The sequence below is a fragment of the Homo sapiens genome, chromosome 19, assembly GCF_000001405.40.
Source record: "Homo sapiens chromosome 19, GRCh38.p14 Primary Assembly".
NCBI lineage: Eukaryota > Metazoa > Chordata > Mammalia > Primates > Hominidae > Homo > Homo sapiens.
The window spans coordinates 44,808,559-44,823,847 of NC_000019.10; the positions used below are offsets into that span (position 1 = coordinate 44,808,559).

A 15,289-nucleotide genomic window follows, 5' to 3' on the forward strand; every position below is an offset into this window, starting at 1 on the left:
AAACATCTCCGGGCATACTGGGAGCAGCTGCTGGGGGCCACTGGTCAGGCTGCGGGGGTCACTGGTTGGACTGGGAGAGGCCAGTGCAGGCCACTCGGACGGCACGCTTGGGGCCATTAGTTACACTGGGAGAGGCCATCGCAGGCCACAGGTTGCAGTGGGGTCCTCTGGTTAAAATCGACGATGCCAGCCCAGGCTGCTGGTCACAGTGGGGACGAGTCCCCAAGGCCCCTGGTCAGAATAACGAGGAGAAGGTCCGCGATTGCCTGGTGAGATCCCAGCTCGGGTCACTGGCTACGCTGGTCGATCAGGCCCCCCGCTGCAGGCGCTGGTCAGTAAGCCCGGACAGCTCTAGGCTTGGGGGCGGACGAGCCCCGAGCCTGGCCCCGTGCACTGGGAGGTCCGCTCCGGGCAGTGGGAGGTCCTGGCCCCGCGCCCGGGCATCGGGGGACGAGGGGGGCCTGGAGGGCGGGGCGGGGCGGGGCTGCCGGGGGCGGGGCCTCTGGCTCCCAGCCCCGCAGCGGCCGAGCTGCAGCCCGGGCTCAGTCTCCGCCGCCGCCGTGAACATGGAGCCCCCGGACGCACCGGCCCAGGCGCGCGGGGCCCCGCGGCTGCTGTTGCTCGCAGTCCTGCTGGCGGCGCACCCAGGTATGGCTCGGGCTGAGGGCAAGGTGGGACTGGGGAGAGGCCCCTGGGGACCCCGGGAAAGCGAGGAGAAAGGGCTTTACCCTGACCCCAGGAAGCAAAATGTGGGGACCCCAAGGAGGAGGGATATGGGAGTGTTGGAAGGTACGCCTTCCAGTGAGAGAGATCTGGGGACAGCCAGGCAGGAGAGCTGGGGATACCCAGGCGGTGGATCAGAGACAACCAGAGAAGTCAGCCCCCTTCCCACTCAGCACCCTGGAATCTGGGTCCCACCTGCCTCCTCCCTCAGACCCTGGAATCTGGGCCCCCAGCCCCTCTTTCCTCAGACCCAGGAGTCCAGGCCTCCAGTGGCTAGAATAGCTTCCCCCAGGGCACAGAGGATCAAAACCCCAGGGCTCTCTCCCTCAAAGGTCCTCAAGTTTTGAGAGGTCCAGGGACCCCTTAGAGAAGCGAGGACCATGTGTCCCCACACCAGCGATCCACATGTATTTAGGAGTTTCCAGAGTCCAGTATAAAGAACCCGCCTCCCTCAGGAAAGGGCTGGAGCACCAGCCCCGGGCAGTGACAGTGGAACAAAGTGTTTCCAAGTGACAGGCCCCCTTCCTGGGGCCTCAGCTACATTTACACACCTGCATGAGGATAGAAGGAGAGGAGGCCGGGGGCTGGGGGGTGGGGGTGGGGGTGCTGGGGACAGAGGGACAGAGAGATGAGAGAGATTGGGGAAGAGAGAGGAACTCTCTGCCTCCACTTGTCTGCAGATCAGACCCAGCCTTAGGCACCAGCCTGGACCCCGTCACCCCTCCCTGGGGACAGGCTGGGGCCAGAGGTGAGCGCTTGGGAATCCAGGCCCCTGGCACACTCATGGTCAACAGTGGGTCCCCAGGGGTAGGGCTGGGCCAGATTGAGCAGAGAAGGGAAGGGAGTTTCTAAGAAGCACTGAGAGCTGATGCCAGGATGCCAGCCCAGAGGGTGAGGGAGGGTGGTGGTTTTTCTACAATAACTACTCCACCAGGCCCCAGCCTCCTCTTCCCTCTGATCCCAGGAGTCCAGGTGCCCAGCTTCCCAAGATCCTGGGCCTCAACCTTATCCTTTTGCAAGATGACTCGACTTATCCCGTTTGCTGTTGTATCAAACTGAGGGGGGCCAAGAGGCGGCTGGGGGCTCTGGCTCCAGGCCGGGCAGGTCTCAGCCAGCCTGTCCCTCCCACATTCCTGAAACCTGCCCAGCCCTGTCCCCCCTCACCGCCCCCACACATCCATCCCGCCTAAGCTCCGGGCCCAGCCGCAGCCCACACCCCAGCCCCTCACTCATGGGAGAGCGGAAGAGACCCAGGGACTGAGTGGTGCAGGTGCAGAGAGAGGCAGAGACAGGGACAGAGATGGAGACCCAAGAGGAGAGACACACGCAAAGGTGGAGACCAGGATGGAGAGAAACATTTATCCATCATCACAGAGGTGGCCCTGCCCAGGGTGCTGGAGGCAAATGGCTGAGCCAGGCCTGGCCCTGCCCTGGGGGGTGGCGTGTGCTCTGTTGGGATAAGCAAAGGCTGGTGCAGTATTACCCCAGGAGTGTTCAGCGGAGGCCACAGGGCCCTGTGCAGCCCAGAGGAGGAGCCCTGAGCTCTGCAAGTGCAGGGAGAGATGGATTTGAGACCCAGAGATGCAGGGAGAAGGGATGGAGGGCGAAAGGATCTCAGGGAGGAGGGGCTGGGGCCTAGACTCCTGGGTCTGAGGGAGGAGGGGCTGGGGCCTGGACTCCTGGGTCTGAGGGAGGAGGGGCTGGGGCCTAGACTCCTGGGTCTGAGGGAGGAGGGGCTGGGGCCTAGACTCCTGAGTCTGAGGGAGGAGGGGACAGGGGCCCAGATTCCTGGGTCTGAGGGAGGAGGGGCTGGCACCTGGACTCCTGGGTCTGAGGGAGGAGGGGCTGGGACCTGGACGCTTGTGTCCTGGGGGAGAGGGGACCCTGTCTGGAGGGCTCTTCCTGTTGGTGTGGTGGATGATAGCTCAGTTGCTCTCTTGCAGATGCCCAGGCGGAGGTGCGCTTGTCTGTACCCCCGCTGGTGGAGGTGATGCGAGGAAAGTCTGTCATTCTGGACTGCACCCCTACGGGAACCCACGACCATTATATGCTGGAATGGTTCCTTGTGAGTGCTTGGGGCTGGGGGGCCTGGAGTCAGGGCACAGCAGGGCAGCAAAGGTTCATTCTCTCATCAGTGCCTAAGGCCTGTAGAGATCCACCAAGCCACACTCCTTGTTACAGATGGGGTCACTGAGTCCCACTGAGGGGAAGGGATCTGCAAGGTGCCCCGTGTCTAGGCACAGCCAAGTCTAGAATGACATTGACCTGCTCTGGACTGCGGGCTCTTGAGAGAGAGAACAGAGACAGACATCAAGAAAGCAGAAGCCAGGCACGGTGGCTCACGCCTGTAATCCCAGCACTTTGGGAGGCCGAGGCGGGTGGATCACGAGGTCAAGAGATCAAGACTGTCCTGACCAACATGGTGAAACCCCGTCTCTACTAAAAATACAAAAATTAGCTGGGCGTGATGGCATGTGCCTGTAATCCCAGCTACTCAGGAGGCTGAGGCAGGAGAATCGCTTGAACCTGGGAGGTAGAGGTTGCAGTGAGCCGAGATCGAGCCAATGCTCTCCAGCCAGGCGACAGAGCAAGACTCTATCTCAAAAAAAAAGAGGAAAGAAAATGAGAGACAATCGGGAGAGGGAGAGACCAAGAGGAGAAGGGATGGGACCGGAATGAGATGGAGAAAAGGAGACAGGAAAAATCAAGAACTGATAGGGAATGGGGGCAGGAGAAGGTGGGGAGGGACAGAGGGACCAGGGAGACCCATAACAAGAGGAAAAGAGGCAGAGCCAGGAGCTGCAGAGAGAAAGGACCCAGAGAGAGAGAGACTGAGGAGCGCTGGGACACCCGGAGCTGAGAGCCTGCCCCGCGCCCACAGACCGACCGCTCGGGAGCTCGCCCCCGCCTAGCCTCGGCTGAGATGCAGGGCTCTGAGCTCCAGGTCACAATGCACGACACCCGGGGCCGCAGTCCCCCATACCAGCTGGACTCCCAGGGGCGCCTGGTGCTGGCTGAGGCCCAGGTGGGCGACGAGCGAGACTACGTGTGCGTGGTGAGGGCAGGGGCGGCAGGCACTGCTGAGGCCACTGCGCGGCTCAACGTGTTTGGTAAGTGTCCTCGGGCATCCCCCGAAGGGAGGCAGGCAGGGAGGGGCGCAGGGCAGGGGCTCCTGACGTGAACGTCTTTTTCACAGCAAAGCCAGAGGCCACTGAGGTCTCCCCCAACAAAGGGACACTGTCTGTGATGGAGGACTCTGCCCAGGAGGTACCTCTCGGGTGGACCTTGGCCCCAGGGTCCTGGAGGAGGAGGGGACAGGGCCCTGGACTCCTGGGTCTGAGGGAGGAGGGGCTGGGGACCCCTGGGTAATAAAGGAGGAGGGGTAAGGCCAGGCGAGGTGGCTCATGCCTGTAATCCCAGCATTTTGGGAGGCAGAGGCAGGCGGATCACCTGAGGTCAGGAGTTCCAGACCAGCCTGGCCAACATAATGAAACCCCGTCTCTACTAAAGATACAAAAATTAGCTGGGTGTGTTGGTGTGCAACTGTAATCCCAGCTGCTCGGGAGGCTGAGACAGGAGAATCACTCGAACCCAGAAGGCAGAGGCTACAGTGAGCTAAGATCACACCACTGCACTCCAGCCTGGGCCACAGAGCAATACTCCGTCTCAAAAAAAAAAAAAAAAAGAAGAAGAAAAGAAAAAAGAAAGGAAGGGCAGAGGGGGAAGACTCCTGTGTCCTAGGAAGGAGAGAGCTGGGGGACCCAGAATCCTTGGTCCCTGGAGGATGGTGCTGGAGGCCTGGACTCTTTAGTCTGAGTCGGGGACTAGGAATTTGGACTCCTGGGTCCTGGGAGAGTCGGGAGTTAGGAGCCCGGCTCATGAGTCTGAGTGGGGAGAACTCCTGAGAGAGGAGCCCCGACTTCAGAGTCCCAGCTCCAAGCCCAGGGCCATGCCCGTGTCTGCCTCAGATCGCCACCTGCAACAGCCGGAACGGGAACCCGGCCCCCAAGATCACGTGGTATCGCAACGGGCAGCGCCTGGAGGTGCCCGTAGAGATGAACCCAGGTGAGCAGCGCAGGAGCGCGGCGGGACGTGGGCTGGGGTGGGTGGCGGGGCTATGGCCTGGCTGACTGCCACCTCCCCCGATCTCTCCCAGAGGGCTACATGACCAGCCGCACGGTCCGGGAGGCCTCGGGCCTGCTCTCCCTCACCAGCACCCTCTACCTGCGGCTCCGCAAGGATGACCGAGACGCCAGCTTCCACTGCGCCGCCCACTACAGCCTGCCCGAGGGCCGCCACGGCCGCCTGGACAGCCCCACCTTCCACCTCACCCTGCACTGTGAGTCTGTGCTGGCCTTTGACCTCTGACCTCAGGCTCCACACCTCATGAGGCCTGACCCTCCACCCGGGGGCTTCACACTCCCCTCTGACCCTCTGCCTCCCTACTTCATGCTAAAAAAAAATGTGCTAGTGCTGGCCACTGACCTCTGACCTCAATTGGTCGCACAAGCCCCATCCTGACCTCTGACCTCCGACCTCCACTTAGCACCCTGGACCCCATGAAGTTTATGACTAAATGGTGCTTTCCACCTTCTCACACTGAATTGGGTCCCCCCATGACATCTGGCTCCAAGTCTCACACTGACCCATCGCCCATACGGACCTCTGACTCTTGACCTATACTCTTAGTTTATTTCAACCTCTGAACTCTGGCACTCAGAATAATTGTGAACCTGAGGCTTGAAACCTATGACCCGTAACCTTTGACCCGCCATAGCCCTCACCTGGGATGCAGGGCTGACCTCTCGCCTGTCCTCTAGCCTTGACCCTTCCCCTGATCACAATTCCCATCTCCCTGCCCTTCCCTTAGATCCCACGGAGCACGTGCAGTTCTGGGTGGGCAGCCCGTCCACCCCAGCAGGCTGGGTACGCGAGGGTGACACTGTCCAGCTGCTCTGCCGGGGGGACGGCAGCCCCAGCCCGGAGTATACGCTTTTCCGCCTTCAGGTGACCCACCCAAGGGTCCCTCTGGGATCCACCCCCCAGCCCCTGACCTCTGTGACCTGCTAACCTGCATAACTTCTAATGTGGGACCTGGGAGTCCCCATGGCTTAGGCAGCCACCTGATCTGGTGGCCCACGAACTAAAAGGACCTCTGACCCCTGATTTGAGAGAGTCAGGACTTAGCATGCCACCTGACTTGATGGCCCCTGACCCCTGATTCTGGCTTAGCATGACACTAACCTGGTGGCTTCTGACCTAGCATGAGCCCGCTGAACCGGGGTGGCTTCTGAGCCTGGTTCCTCGTCCCCCGTCTCCCAGGATGAGCAGGAGGAAGTGCTGAATGTGAATCTCGAGGGGAACTTGACCCTGGAGGGAGTGACCCGGGGCCAGAGCGGGACCTATGGCTGCAGAGTGGAGGATTACGACGCGGCAGATGACGTGCAGCTCTCCAAGACGCTGGAGCTGCGCGTGGCCTGTGAGAGCCCTGGGTGAACGGGCGGGCAGGAGGGGCCCTGGCATCAGTGCCTCTGCGCCCTCCTCCCTACAGCCCTGAAGTTGCTCTGTCATCCCAAACACTCTGCCTTCAACCCTTTCTCTGCATTTCTTGGGGGTTTTTTTGGTTGTTTTTTTTTTTTTTTTTTTCCCAGAGACAGGACCTGGCTACGTTGCCCAGGCTGGTCTCGAACTCCTCATGCGATCCTCCTGCCTTGCTCTCCCAAAGTGCTGGGATTACAGGAGTGAGCCACCGCATCTTGTCGAGAGCTCTTTCCATAGCACAGACCTGACCCTCCTCTGCTCAGAATCTGCCATGGCTCCCCAGTACCCTTGGGAGAAGCCCAGGTGTCTCACCATGGCCTTCAAGGTCCACCTGGCCAGTTCCACCATTAGCTAGCTGATCCTTCTCCCCAGTCAAGGCTATCTCCTCATCACCCCCCAGGCTCCTCTGGTTCCTACCTTCACTGCCCATCCTTCCTACCGTCTATTTCTCACCAATCCCTTGAATCCCAGGCTTCTAAGAATGATTTTCAGTTCATTCGCATCCAGGCCCTGGGGAAAGGCTGTATTCTCCCTTGGCACTTCTTACATATCCCTTCCTGGGGTAGACCCTGCGCCAGATGCTGGGGACACATCTGTGAACAAGACAGACCACCCCTGTTATTTCAGTAGGGGAGACAGATGGTAAATGCTAACTAAGCCCTTTCGTAACAGTAGTGTATCTACAGGTGATATCACCAGTGAGAGAGAGCAGGAGAGGGGATTATTTTAGGTGGCAGGTGTTGCAGTCTGCTTTCCTGAGAAGCAGATTCTGACTTGGATGTTTTCAGGCAAGAAGTTTATGGGAAGTACCCTGGGTTCCGCACCTCTTGGGTCTAGGGAGGTAAAGGAAGCAAGATTTGGCAAGGTGAGAAGTTGGACTGAAGTCTAAGGAAGGTCTCAGGCTGGGTGCAGTGGTTCATGCCTATAATCCCAGCACTTTGAGAGGCTGAGGCAGGAGGATTGTATGAGCCTAGGAGTTTGAGGCCAGCCTGGGCAACAGAGGGAGACCCCATTTGCACACACACACACACAAATTAAAAATTAGCCAGGCATAGTGGCACACACCTGTAGTCCCAGCTACTCGGAGGCCCAGGTGGGAGGATCCCTTGAGTCTGGAAGGTTGAAACTGCAGTGAGCCAAGATTGTGCCACTGCACTCCAGCCTGAGCGACAGAGAAAGACCCCGTCTCAGGAAAAATAAAAATAAAAAAGTAGGCCGGGCCCCGTGGCTCATGCCTGTAATCCCAACACTTTGGGAGGCCGAGGTGGGTGGATCACCTGAGGTCAGGAGTTAGAGACCAGCCTGGCCAACATAGTGAAACCCCCTCTGTACTAAAAGTTAGCCGGGTGTGGTGGCATGCACCTGTAATCCCAGCCACTCAGGAGCCTGAGGCAGGAGAATCGCTTGAACCCAGGAAGCGGAGATTGCAGTGAACTGAGATCGTGCCATTGCACTCCAGCCTGGGCAACAGAGTGAGACTCCATCTCAGAAACAAATAAAAGAAAGAAAGAGGGCCTCAGTCAGCCCCACGGGGTACTTGGAATCCAGGATGGCCCTTCACAGTTGTCCCCAGTTGGGGTGAGGGGGCTGGGCCTTAATAACCTCTACATCAACCAGTCCTCAGAGGTGTGCTGGCCTTAGGCAAGGGGCTCTCAGCAGCTGAGGCAGCTCCCAGAGAGGGGTGACAGCTGCAGGCTGACAGCTGTCATCCTTCTTAGCAGCTGGTGGAATAAGTCCTTCCGTGCTGTAGGAAAGATCTGGGTGTCCACAATAGGGGAGGTCAGGGAAGCCTCTGAGAAGAGACATTTAAGTGAGACTCAGAAAAGCAGACAGCAGCCAGGCACAGTGGCTCACACCTGTAATCCCAGCACTTTGGGAGGCCGAGGCAGGTGGATCACCTGAGGTCAGGAGTTCGAGACCAGCCTGGCCAACATGGTGAAACCCCATCTCTACTAAAAATATAAAAATTAGCCAGGCATGATGGCTGGTGCCTGTAATCCCAGCTACCCAGGAGACTGAGGCAGGAGAATCGCTTGATCCTGGGAGGCGGAGGTTGCAGTGAGCTGAGATCGTGCCACTGAACTCCAGCCTGGGTGACAGAGCAAGAGTCTGTCTCAAAGAAAAAAGAAATTGGCCGGGCACGGTGGCTCACACCTGTAATCCCAGCACTTTTGGGAGGCAGAGGCGGGCAGATCATGAGGTCAGGAGTTTGAGACCATCCTGGCTAACACGGTGAAATCCCGTCTCTACTAAAAATACAAAAAATTAGCTGGGCGTGGTGGCAGGTGCCTGTAGTCCCAGGTACTCGGGAGGCTGAGGCAGGAGAATGGCATGAACCCAGGAGGCAGAGCTTGCAGTGAGCTGAGATCCCGCCACTGCACTCTAGCCTGGGCGACAGAGCCAAACTCTCTCAAAAAAAAATAATAAGAAGAAGAAATGCAGAGAGCTACAAAAAGAGCACTGCAAGTAGAGTGAGCAAGTGCAAAGGCCCTGAGGCAGGCCCCAACTTGGTCTACTCAAGAAAAACAGCAAGAGAACGGGGTAGCTGGGAGCACAGGAGGAATGGGGAAGAGTGGGAGATGGTTCAAGAGGTGGGTGAGGGCCAGACCAGGCAGCATCTTTTAGGCACCCTCAAGAAGTTTGGCCTCGATGCCAAGGGTACTGGGGAGCCACTGCAGGGTTTTATGCAGAGGGGAGGGATGACCAGTGGGTGGTTGGTTTTTTTTGTTTTTTTTTTTTTGAGTCAGAGTCTCACTCTGTCACCCAGGCTGGAGCGCAGTGGCACAATCTCGGCTCACTGCAACCTCCACCTCCCAGGTTCAAGCGATTCTCCTGCCTCAGCCTCCCAAGTAGCTGGGACTATAGGCATGCACCACTATGCCCAGCTAGCTTTTGGATTTTTAGTAGAGATGGGGTTTCACCATGTGACCAGGGTGGTCTCGAACTCCTGACATCAGGTGATGCACCCGCCTCGGCCTCCCAAAGTGCTGGGGTTATAGGCATGAGCCACCGTGCCCGGCCTGACCAGTGGATGTTTTAAAGAGGTCCCTCTAGCTGCTCAGTGGAGGATGGACAAGAGGGAGGAGCAGGCTAGTGAAGAGGTGGTTGGGACAGTCAAACCTGGGGCCAGAGGTGGCAGGAAGCCAGAGGATTTGTCCTGGGAGCAGACCAGATAAAGACTTGCTGAGGCCAGGAGCAGGGGCTCACGCCTGTGATCCTAGCACTTTTGGGAGGTCAAGACAGGAGGATCACTTGAGGCCAGGAGTTTGAGACCCAGCCTGGCCAACATAGCAACACCTTGTCTCTATTCAAAAACAAAACTTTGCAGAAAAGATGTTTGGGGGTAACAGGGAGGTTACCCCACAGGTTGGGGTTTGAGCAAAAGGTTTGTGTGCTAAAGTCACAGAAGGGACACCTTCCACACCTAAGGTTATTCATTAACCTTGGGCTCAGATGTCAGCTCTGAAGAAAAGTAATTGACTTGGGCATGTCAATGTTGGGGTTAGACTGCTAGATTTTTGGTTGGAGAGCCTGGATGGGAGAATGGAGATTTCATGGAGATGGGGTAAACCAGGAGGATTACTTGCTGTTCTCTGCTTCCAACTGTCCATTCATGTTTGCACCCCCGACCGCCCCTGGAGAGCCCCTAATTGAGTGGGTGGCGGTCTGGGACGAGTGACAGACTGTCCCCCACTGCAGATCTGGACCCCCTGGAGCTCAGCGAGGGGAAGGTGCTTTCCTTACCTCTAAACAGCAGTGCAGTCGTGAACTGCTCCGTGCACGGCCTGCCCACCCCTGCCCTACGCTGGACCAAGGTGAGAGGGAGAGGAGCCCCCTCGGGCCCTGCACTCGCACCCTCCTCTCTCCCCTCACTCCTCGCCCTCTCACAGCGTCCTCCTCCTCCTCTGCCCTTCCCAGGACTCCACTCCCCTGGGCGATGGCCCCATGCTGTCGCTCAGTTCTATCACCTTCGATTCCAATGGCACCTACGTATGTGAGGCCTCCCTGCCCACAGTCCCGGTCCTCAGCCGCACCCAGAACTTCACGCTGCTGGTCCAAGGTTCAGGGGGCAGGGAGGGGGTGGGCTTGGATGGGGACAGTGTGGGGTGTGGGACCTGGACAAACAGGACGAGTTCCTGAGTCCCTGGCTGGGGACTCCATCTTCTGCTCGATGCCTCTCTTCTCTCTCTCTCTCCTCTCCCTTCACTTTCTTCCCATCCCCACCACCCACAGGCTCGCCAGAGCTAAAGACAGCGGAAATAGAGCCCAAGGCAGATGGCAGCTGGAGGGAAGGAGACGAAGTCACACTCATCTGCTCTGCCCGCGGCCATCCAGACCCCAAACTCAGCTGGAGCCAATTGGGGGGCAGCGTAAGGGACCTTCCTCTCCACCCTGAGCCCCCTCTCACTCATCCAAGTATCACACCCTCCTTTCCACTTCCTGGGAGACTGGACGTCGTTCACCTCTGCCCTTGACCCCACCCCTTGACCCCACCAGCCGGGGCCTGATCGGAGCCTCCATAGCCCGCAGAGCCAATCCCCGGACGGCAGGGTTGGGTGAGCAGCTCTCTGACCCTGAAAGTGACCAGCGCCCTGAGCCGCGATGGCATCTCCTGTGAAGCCTCCAACCCCCACGGGAACAAGCGCCATGTCTTCCACTTCGGCACCGGTGAGTGACTGAGGTGGTGGCAGAGGAGCCGGGTGTGGGGCAGACAGAGCCCACTGCCTGACCCACGCCTCTCTCCATCCTGTCCCTGCAGTGAGCCCCCAGACCTCCCAGGCTGGAGTGGCCGTCATGGCCGTGGCCGTCAGCGTGGGCCTCCTGCTCCTCGTCGTTGCTGTCTTCTACTGCGTGAGACGCAAAGGGGGCCCCTGCTGCCGCCAGCGGCGGGAGAAGGGGGCTCCGTGAGTGGCCTGCTATCTGCAATGACCACCATAGCTTAACCCCATCCCCACCCTCAACCCCAAGCTCAACCCATAACCTCAACCACATCTTATCCTCCACCCCACATCCCACCACATCCACCTCCATCCCCAACCCATCCTCATCCCCAACTACAGCCCCAAACCCAGCCCCAGACTAATCCACAGCCATCCCCAACTCATCCTCATCCCCAACTGCAGCCCCAAACCCAACCCAGGGCCATCCCCAAACCCATCCCCAAGCCAAACTCAACACCATCCCCTTCCCTAATCACCTCTCCTGCCCCTAGCTCAGCCTCATCCCCAACTCCATGCCTGTCTCCAATCCCAACCCTGCCCCCAATCTCCCCTCAACTCCAATCCATAACCCCCTTCAAACCATCCTCAACTAAGCTCCTCTCCAGCCCTGGCCACATCCCCATCCTCCCCCAACCTCCAGCCCCAACACCCATCATCCCCCTGAGCTCACCCTTAACTCCAATTTATCCTCCAAGCCTATCTCTCACCATCCAGCCCTCACCTAGCCATTTCCCAACCCTAGTCCTCCACCGTCCCGAAGCCAACTTCACCCATGTCCCCATCCCCAATCTTGTCCCCATTCCTGACTCCAAATCCAACCCCTAAGCCTCCCCAAGCTCCTCCTCATCTAACCTTGTCTCCAGCCCCAACCACATGGCCGTCCTCACCTCCAATCCGTAACCATCCCAGACCGATCCCAAAGCCAACTCCAGCTACATTCCCACCTCCAACCCCAATAGCATCTGCATCCCCATGCCCAACCCTAACCCCAGTGCCATTACCAGCCCCTACCCCATCCCTATGCCATCCCCACCCAGCACACCCCCATCCTCACCTCCATCCCCAGCCGCATCCTAGTCCCACCCACCCCCATCCTCAGTTCCTCCCCCTGCCGTGTGCACCTCCAACACGACGCCTCCGCCCGCTGCCTCCTCCCCCCAGGCCGCCAGGGGAGCCAGGGCTGAGCCACTCGGGGTCGGAGCAACCAGAGCAGACCGGCCTTCTCATGGGAGGTGCCTCCGGAGGAGCCAGGGGTGGCAGCGGGGGCTTCGGAGACGAGGTGGGTGAGGGCCTGGGCCCCCTGGTGAGAGGGACCTGCTGGGCAGTGGAGCACGCCCGTGGGCACAGGCTGACCTCTCCATCCGCTCCCCAGTGCTGAGCCAAGAACCTCCTAGAGGCTGTCCCTGGACCTGGAGCTGCAGGCATCAGAGAACCAGCCCTGCTCACGCCATGCCCGCCCCCGCCTTCCCTCTTCCCTCTTCCCTCTCCCTGCCCAGCCCTCCCTTCCTTCCTCTGCCGGCAAGGCAGGGACCCACAGTGGCTGCCTGCCTCCGGGAGGGAAGGAGAGGGAGGGTGGGTGGGTGGGAGGGGGCCTTCCTCCAGGGAATGTGACTCTCCCAGGCCCCAGAATAGCTCCTGGACCCAAGCCCAAGGCCCAGCCTGGGACAAGGCTCCGAGGGTCGGCTGGCCGGAGCTATTTTTACCTCCCGCCTCCCCTGCTGGTCCCCCCACCTGACGTCTTGCTGCAGAGTCTGACACTGGATTCCCCCCCCTCACCCCGCCCCTGGTCCCACTCCTGCCCCCGCCCTACCTCCGCCCCACCCCATCATCTGTGGACACTGGAGTCTGGAATAAATGCTGTTTGTCACATCAACACCATCCTGTGGCCAGAGCTTCCTCTGGGAGTAGGGAGGGGAAGGGCGATGCAGGTGATTCCCTGCTCTCAGCTGCCCCCCCATCCGCCCCCTTGCAAGACCTCAGAAGACGCCTGATGTCATGGAGAAAGAAATGAGACAGGGCTGGGCGCCGTGGTTCATTCTTGTAATCCCAGTGGTGGTGGCTCACGCCCGTAATCCCAGCACTTTAAGAGGCTGACACTGGAGGGTGGCTTCAGGCCAGGAGTTCAAGACCAGCCTGGGCAACATATGGAGACCCCATCGCTACAAATAATAATACTAATAATACAGAAATTAGCCAGGTGTGCCTATAGTCCCAGCTATTCAGGAGGCTAAGGTGGGAGGATTCCTTGAGCCCAGGAATACGAGGTTACAGTGAGCTATGATCACGCCATTGCACTCCAGCCTGGGTGACAAAGCGAGACTTCATCTCTAAAAAAAAAGAAGAAAACAAAAAGAGGCCAAGCTCAGTGGCTCAAACCTGTAATCCCAGCACTTTGGGAGACCAAGGCAGGGGGATCACTTTAGGTCAGGAGTTTGAGACCAGCCTGGCCAACATGGTGAAACCCCATCTCTACTAAAAATACAAAAAATTAGCCAGGCATGGTGGCGCGAGCCTGTAATCCCAGCTACGTGGGAAACTGAGGAGGAGAAAATCTTGAACCCAGGAGGCAGAGGTTGCAGTGAGCCGATATCGCACCACTGCACTCCAGCCTGGGCGACAGAGCGAGACACTCCGTGAAAAGAAAAGAAAAAGAAATGACAGCATGAGAGCGAGTGAGCACGCAGAGGGCGACTTAGCTGGCCGGGGGTGGACGGAAAGATGCCAGGTCCCGAGGGTGCTGGGCTTGGCCCCCGAGGACCAGCGTCTGCCTGGAGATGGGTGCTGTCCCCTTAAGTAAAAGTTCCCAGTCTGTCTTGCCAGAGCCCCAGAGGGAATTGAAACTGGGCGAGGAAAAGCTCCCTCTTAGCTGTAGAGTCAATAGAATTAGGGATGGAGCCACCTCCTCTGGGGAGGAGTCCCTGGGGAAAGCGGGGAGCTTGGAGGAATCCAGAGAAAAGGGGGCCTGGGGCAGAGAGGACACACAGACATTACAAGGCCAAGAAAGAGGGACGTGAGAAAGGGATGGAAAGATTTAGGGGGAGGCAAGAGGGATGGGTTGGGAAGCTCCGAGAGAGCCCTGGAGTAAGAGACAAAAATAGATCTGGGGAGACAGACAAAAAGAGTAGTGGGCCAGGTCCAGTGGCTCATGCCTATAATCCCAGCACTTTGGGAGGCTGAGGCAGGAGGATCTCTTGAGGCCAGGGGTTTGAGACCAGCCTGATCAACATACCAAGACCCCATCTCTACAAAAAATAAAAAATTAGCCGGGCATGGTGGCACACGACTGCAGTCCTCAGCACAGGCAAGAGGATCACTTGAGGCCAGCAGTTCAAGACCAGCCTGGGCAACATAGTGAGACCCCATCTCTACAAAAAAATAAAAAATTAGCTGGGCATGGTGGCAAACACCTGTGGTCCTGCACTTTGTGTGACCAAGGCAGGTGGTTCACTTGAGGCCAGTAGTTCAAGACCAGCCTGGGCAACACAGCAAGACCACATCTCTACATAATTTTTTAAAGAGAAATACAGAGAAAGAAGAACTGGAGTTAGAGAGATCATTGCAGTTGGAAAGGGAGAGAGGAAATGCAAGCAGCTGCCTAGAAGGACGGAGGAGGGTAGCGGGAGGTCAGCACGGGTGACTGGCTGGCGACCTCACCTCTCTGAGCCTTTCTTGTGCATCGAATGGGGATCAATTGCACTTTGGCCACGGCGGGCTGCTGTGAGGTGTCAGTGTGATCTTAGAGCCATGTGGGGTGATGGGGGCATTGCACTCACACACCACCCAGGGCCTCCTAGCATTGCCTTCTCAAATCTCAGGCACGCAGCTCCACTCTCTGCTCTCAGTCACCTCAGCCACAAAGTGGACAGAGTGGGATCTGTCACCATAGGAAATTATTCGGATGCCACAGAAGCCTCCTTCCTGGTAGGTAAACCAAGCAGCCTGCCCAGGCAGAAGAGCTCATGGGCCACGTTAAGGCGCTCAGATCCCATGGTTTATTGAATTCATTTAAAACAAACACAAGGTTATTGTTTGTTTTTCAACTGTGTGGTGGTAGGAAGTGCTCCTGACGGTTTTCCCATGGCAATAATTTACTCCTTGATTTCACCCACCACTACTGTGACAGCTTTCTCTCACTGATTCACCCAAAAGTGGGCTTTTCTTTGTCATTCATTCTTTTTTTTTTTTTTTTTTTTGATGGAGTGCAGTGGCAAAATCATAGCTCACTACCTCAAACTCCTAGGCTCAAGTGATCCTCCTGCCTCAGCTTGCTCTGCAGCTAGACCCACAGGCACATGCCATCACAC

The 15,289-nt window shown here is 58.1% G+C and overlaps 1 protein-coding gene across 2 annotated transcripts, besides 3 other annotated features; it reads left to right on the plus strand.

The window, feature by feature from the left end:
• On the plus strand, positions 501-12,863 carry BCAM (basal cell adhesion molecule (Lutheran blood group)). 2 transcript variants are annotated; one of them, NM_005581.5, is made up of 15 exons: positions 545-648; positions 2,667-2,788; positions 3,605-3,833; positions 3,920-3,990; positions 4,692-4,788; positions 4,880-5,062; positions 5,594-5,730; positions 6,046-6,202; positions 9,964-10,079; positions 10,183-10,324; positions 10,498-10,634; positions 10,788-10,932; positions 11,024-11,168; positions 12,147-12,264; positions 12,358-12,863. In NM_005581.5, the coding sequence occupies exons 1-15, from the start codon at positions 567-569 to the stop codon at positions 12,361-12,363; spliced, it is 1,887 nt and encodes a 628-aa protein (NP_005572.2). In that variant the 5' UTR covers positions 545-566; the 3' UTR covers positions 12,364-12,863. The 2 variants fall into 2 exon arrangements, with proteins under 2 accessions (NP_001013275.1, NP_005572.2); NM_001013257.2 differs by having other exon boundaries at positions 501-648; positions 11,024-12,264.
• Positions 3,719-4,265: an enhancer, noted in NCBI's record as "H3K27ac-H3K4me1 hESC enhancer chr19:45315534-45316080 (GRCh37/hg19 assembly coordinates)". NCBI's record gives its function as "activates a minimal SCP1, AML or CMV promoter by ChIP-STARR-seq in naive H9 embryonic stem cells {active_cell/tissue: H9 hESC(naive)}" and the evidence as "EXISTENCE:reporter gene assay evidence [ECO:0000049][PMID:30033119]".
• Positions 4,917-5,449: an enhancer, noted in NCBI's record as "H3K27ac-H3K4me1 hESC enhancer chr19:45316732-45317264 (GRCh37/hg19 assembly coordinates)". NCBI's record gives its function as "activates a minimal SCP1, AML or CMV promoter by ChIP-STARR-seq in primed H9 embryonic stem cells {active_cell/tissue: H9 hESC(primed)}" and the evidence as "EXISTENCE:reporter gene assay evidence [ECO:0000049][PMID:30033119]".
• Positions 9,214-9,508: a silencer, noted in NCBI's record as "tiled region #5395; K562 Repressive DNase matched - State 10:DNaseD". NCBI's record gives its function as "represses a minimal TATA promoter and a strong SV40 promoter by Sharpr-MPRA in K562 cells {active_cell/tissue: K562}" and the evidence as "EXISTENCE:reporter gene assay evidence [ECO:0000049][PMID:27701403]".

What these genes read in the sequence shown, in the direction of transcription:
- BCAM (NM_005581.5), top strand. Translation starts at nt 567, where the DNA reads ATGGAGCCCCCGGACGCACCGGCCCAGGCGCGCGGGGCCCCGCGGCTG. An exon ending in CCTGCTGGCGGCGCACCCAG is followed by an intron (nt 649 to 2,666) that starts GTATGGCTCGGG and finishes GCTCTCTTGCAG; the next exon opens with ATGCCCAGGCGGAGGTGCGC. An exon ending in GCTGGAGCTGCGCGTGGCCT is followed by an intron (nt 6,203 to 9,963) that starts GTGAGAGCCCTG and finishes CCCCCACTGCAG; the next exon opens with ATCTGGACCCCCTGGAGCTC.